Source organism: Homo sapiens, chromosome 18 (assembly GCF_000001405.40).
Source record: "Homo sapiens chromosome 18, GRCh38.p14 Primary Assembly".
NCBI classification, from domain to species: Eukaryota; Metazoa; Chordata; class Mammalia; order Primates; family Hominidae; genus Homo; species Homo sapiens.
The window spans coordinates 21,130,715-21,136,071 of NC_000018.10; the positions used below are offsets into that span (position 1 = coordinate 21,130,715).

Sequence of the window (5,357 nt, forward strand, 5' to 3'; positions counted from 1 at the left end):
GACAAAATTTAAAAAAAATCTGAGGACTCTTGAAAGTAAAACAGGCAAATAGTGATGTGGAGTCAAAACTTGAAGAAGCAACACATATGAGAATGACTTCTCATTTTTCCCCCTTTTCTCCTGTGGCTGTGCCCCAAGGGCAGGCCTCAAGTGCAGAACTTCTTAGTAGCAGTGATCCAGGCAATTAACACTTTTAAAAGAAACCTTATCTTTCTGCACAGAACTGGAAAAAGGGATCTCCATGGGACAGAGTGTAGAAGGAATCCTGGAGAGAAGTGTACCGGAGAACAGGATGTCTTAATAATATATAAGAAACTATACAAATCCATGTTTACCTTTGAGGTGCATATGCATGGGACTAGACCTAAGACAACATAGCAAAGGTTTGAGAATTGAACTAATATGTAAACCACCACCCAAGTCTCAGACTAACTTCTTAGAAGTATGTGTGTTGAACAGACCCAAAGCAGCATTCACTACACTTTGAAAACTGAACTGAGATTGGAACACTGCCCACAGAAAGTGATTTTTAAAACATGCCGTCTGAAGCTTACTGGAGTGATTGCCTGCTAAAATGATAAAGTAATAATAACATCCCCTAGAGAATTTTGATAGGACTTATATCCACACAATTTGATATTCGAAAAGTCCAGAATACAATTCAAACTTACTCAACAAAAAACCAGAAAAATGTGACCAGTTCTTTTTTTTTTTTTTCCCTGAGACAGTCTCGCTCTGTCACGCAGGCTGGAGTGCAGTGCAGCAATCTAGGCTCACTGCAAGCTCCGCTTCCCGGGTTCACGCCATTCTCCTGCCTCAGCCTCCACAGTACCTGGGACTACAGGCGCCTGCCGCCATCTTATGTCCGGAATTGGTGGATTCTTGCTCTCACTGACTTCAAGAATGAAGCCGCAGACCCTCCTGGTGAGTGTTACAGTTCTTAAAGGCGGCATGTCCGGAGTTTGTTCCTCCTGATGTGTTCAGTTTCTTCCTTCTGGGTGGGTTCGTGGTCTCGCTGGCTCAGGGATGAAGCTACACACCTTCACCTTGAGTGTTACAGCTCTTAAGGCAGCCGGTCTGGAGTTGTTCATTCCTCCCCGTGGGTTCGTGGTCTCGCTGACTTTAGGAGTGAAGCTGGAGACCTTGCAGTGAGTGTTACAGCTCATAAAGGCAGTGTGGACCCAGAGAATGAGCAGTAGCAACATTTATCACAAAAAGCAAAAGAACAAAGCTACCACAGTGTAGAAGGACACCCGACCAGGTTTCCACTGGGAACTTGGGCAGCCTGGTTTTATTGTCTTATCTGGCCCCACCCACAGCCTACTGATTGGTCAATTTTATAGAGAGCCGATTGGTCTGTTTTACAGAGAGCTGATTGGTCCATTTTGACAAGGTGCTGATTGGTGCGTTTAGAATCCCTTAGCTAGACATAAAGGTTCTCCAAGTCCCCACCAGATCAGCTAGACACAGAGCACCCACAGATTGGTGCATTTACAAACCTTGAGCTAGACGCAGGGTGCTGATTGGTGCATTTACAAACCTTGCGCTAGATACAGAGTGCCGATTGGTGTATTCACAGTCCCTTAGCTAGACATAAAGATTCTCCAAGTGTCCACCAGATTAGCTAGATACAGAGTGCCATTGATGCATCCACAAATCCGGAGCTAGGCACAGTGTGCTGATTGGTGTGTTGACAATCCCTTAGCTAGACCTAAAGGTTCTCCAAGTCCCCACTAGACTCAGGAGCCCTGCTGGCTTCATCCAGTGGATCCCGCACTGGGCCGCAGGTGGAGCTGCCTGCCAGTCCTGGGCCGTGGCCTGCACTCCTCAGCCCTTGGGCGGTGGATGGGATCGGGCGCTGTGGAGCAGGGAGTGGCACTCGCTCAGGGAGGCTCGGGCTGCGCAGGAGCCCACATCCCGAGCCCTGCCCCGCGGGGAGGCAGCTAAGGCCCGGCGAGAAATCGAGCGCAGGCACTGCTGGGGGACCCAGTGCACCCTCCGCAGCTGCTGGCCCCACTGCCCAGGGCCGCTCTGAGTGCAGGGCCCGCCAAGCCCACGCCCATCCGGAACTCTAGCTGGCCTGCAAGCGCCACACGCAGCCCTGGTTCCCACCCGCTCCTCTCCCTCCACACCTCCCGGCAAGCTGAGGGAGCCGGCTCTGGCCTCAACCAGCCCAGAGGGGGGCCCCCACAGCGCAGTGGCAGGCTGAAGGGCTCCTGGAGCATGGCCAGAGTGGTCTCAGAGGCCAAGGAGGTGCCAAGAGTGAGCGAGGGCTGCGAGGGCTGCCAGCACGCTGTCCCCTCTGAATGCCAGGCTAATTTTTTGTATTTGTAGTAGAGACGGGGTTTCACGTGTTAGCCAGGATGGTCTCGATATCCTGACCTTGTGATCTGCCCGCCTCAGCCTCCCAAAGTGCTGGGATTACAGGTGTGAGTCACCGTGCCTGGCCGTGACCAGTTCTTAAGAGAACAGACAGTTAGCAAAGGTCAACCCCAAGATGACACACCTGGTGACATTGTCAAATAAAGACTTTAAAATAGATACTATAAGCTTCATGAGGTAAAGGAAAACACATGTTAAGTAAAGTAAGTGGAAAGATCATTAAAAAAGAAAATAGAAAATTTAGTATTGAAACATACAATATCTGAAATTTAAAATTTACTGGATGGGGCCGGATATGGTGGCTCACACCTGTAATCCCGGCTCTTTGGGAGGCTGAGGCAAGCGTATGTATCACTTGAGGTCAGGAGTTCAAAACCAGCCTGGGCAACATGGTCTCTACCAAAAATACAAAAAATTAGCTAGGCATGGTGACACGTAACTGTGGTCCCAGCTACTCAGGTGGCTGAGGTGGGAAGATCACTTGAGCCTGGGAGGTGGAAGTTGCAGTGAGTCAAGATTGTGCCACTGCATTCCAGCCTGGGTAACAGAGTGAGACCCTGTCTCAAAATAAATACATACGTAAAATAAAATTTACTGGATGGGTTCAATAGCAGAATGAAGATGACAGAGAAAAGAGTAAGTGAACCTAAAGACAGATTAATAGAAGTTATCCAATTTGAAGAACAAAGAGAAAAAAGATCGGAAAAAAACTGAATAGAACTTCAGGGACTCATGGGACTATATCAAAAGTCTAACACTGATAACACTGGAGTCCTATAAAGATATTGGTATGGAAAAAAACATTTGAAGATAATGACTGAAAACTTCCCAAACTTGGAGAAAAAGACATCAACTTGCAGATTTAAGAAGTTCAGCGAACCCAAAATAGAATAAACTCAGAGAAAAGCGCACCCAAACACATTATAATCAAACTACTAAACACTAAATGTAATGAAAAAAATCTTAAAAGCAGCTAAGGAAAAATGACACATTATATACAGGAGAACGATGATGTTAACAATGATGTTGGACTTCTCATCAGAAACCACAGAAGCCAGAAGACAGTGGAATAACATCTGTAAAATTATGACAAAACTGTCAAGCCAGCACTCCACATCCAGCAAAAATATCCTCAGGCATGAAGGAGAAACAAAGATATTCTCAGATGAAGGAAAACTAAGAAAACTCATAGCTAACTAAAAGAAATGTGCAAGGAAGTTCTTCAGACTGAAGCAAAATAATACTAGGTGAAACCTGGAACTTTAGGAATGAATGAAGAACAACACGAACAGTAAATAGCTGGGTAAATCTAAAAGATTGTTTGCCTTTTTCTTCCTATTTAGTTCTTTAAAATATGTATAATTTTTTGTTGTTGTTTTTTGTTTTTTGTTGTTTGTTATTGTTGTTGTTGTTTGAGATGGAGTCTCACTCTTGTCATCCAGGCTGGAGTGTAGTGGCGTGATCTCAGCTCGCTGCAACCTTGGTTCAAGCGATTCTCCTGCCACAACCTCCCATGTAGCTGGGATTACAGGCACGCGCCACCATGCCCAGCTAATTTTGTATTATTAGTAGAGACGTGGTTTCACCATGTTGGCCAGGATGGTCTCAATCTCTTGACCTCGTGTTCCACCCACCTTAGCCTCCCAAAGTGCTGGGATTACAGACATGAGCCACTGCACCCGGCCTAAAATATGTATAATTGTTGAAAGAAAAAAAAATTTTTGAAAGAAAAATTTAACCTTGTCCTATGGGGTTTTTAATGCTTCTGTATATTTAATATATATGACAACTATGACATAAAGGAAGGAAGTTAAAGGACCTTTATGGTTGTAAGGCATCTGCATATTACTTAAATAGTAAAACATTGCTCTAAGTAGACCCAGAAATGTTAAGTATTTCTATTGTACTACTTAGAGCAGTCATTCTTAATTGGAGTCGAGAAGACATTTTTGATTGCCATAACTGGAGAAAGGCGTGTGACTGGCATCTAGTGGGTAGAGGTCAGAAATGTTGCTAAACATTTTACATTGCACAATGCAGAACAAAGATTTATCTGGTCCAAAACAGAGAATTATCTGTTTCAAAATATCAATAGTGTTAAGAGTGAGAAACCTTGCTCTAGAACAACCAGAAAGAGCGAGAGTGAGAGAGAACCAAAAAGCAACAGATAAAATAGAGTAGAATACTGAAACTATCCAAACAGTCCAAAAGAAGGCAGAAAGGGAAAGAGAAAATAGGGAAACAAAAAAGCAGACAGGACAAAAAAAAATACATAATAAAATGATATAACTAAATCTAAACATCCCAATAATTACATTAAATATAAATGATCTAAACACACCAATTAAAAGATAAAAGTTACTATATTGGCTTAAAAAATCTCTGTGCTGTCCTCAGGAAAGCCAGTTTAATTATAAAGACTTAGATAGGCAAAAAGTAAAAAGGTAGAAAAAGATATACCATGCAAACAATAATCAAAAGGAATTTGGAGAAGACATAATAATCCTAAATGGGTACACATCTAATAACAAGGTTTTAAGATACATGAAGGACAAAAACAAATCTTAACAAATTTACATAAGTTGAAACCACACAAAGCATTTTAACTGACCATAATAAAATTATGTTAGAAATCCACAACAGAAATATAATTCCATTTTGTTTTTGCATATGGATGTCAAATTATTGGATTGCCAGTTGCTAAAAACTGTCCTTTCACCATTTAATTTCTTTGGCAACTTTACTGAAAATCAATTAAGCAATTTTGTGTGAGTCTATTTCTGGACTCTCTATTCTATTCAATTGATCTATATGTTTGTCTTTTACCAATACTATGCTGTCTTGATTACTCTAGATTTATAAAAGCCTTGAAATCAAGAAGTGTGACTGCTGCAGCTTTGTTTGTATTTTTCAAAATTGTTTTGGCTATTATAGGTCCTTTGCTTATCCATGTACATTCTATTTATTATTTTGTT

At 42.5% G+C, this 5,357-nt stretch overlaps 1 annotated feature.

The window, feature by feature from the left end:
* Positions 260–1,459: an enhancer, noted in NCBI's record as "BRD4-independent group 4 enhancer chr18:18710935-18712134 (GRCh37/hg19 assembly coordinates)". NCBI's record gives its function as "activates an origin of replication core promoter dependent on BRD2, P300/CBP, MED14 and CDK7 cofactors, and independent of BRD4, by STARR-seq in HCT116 cells {active_cell/tissue: HCT116}" and the evidence as "EXISTENCE:reporter gene assay evidence [ECO:0000049][PMID:35650434]".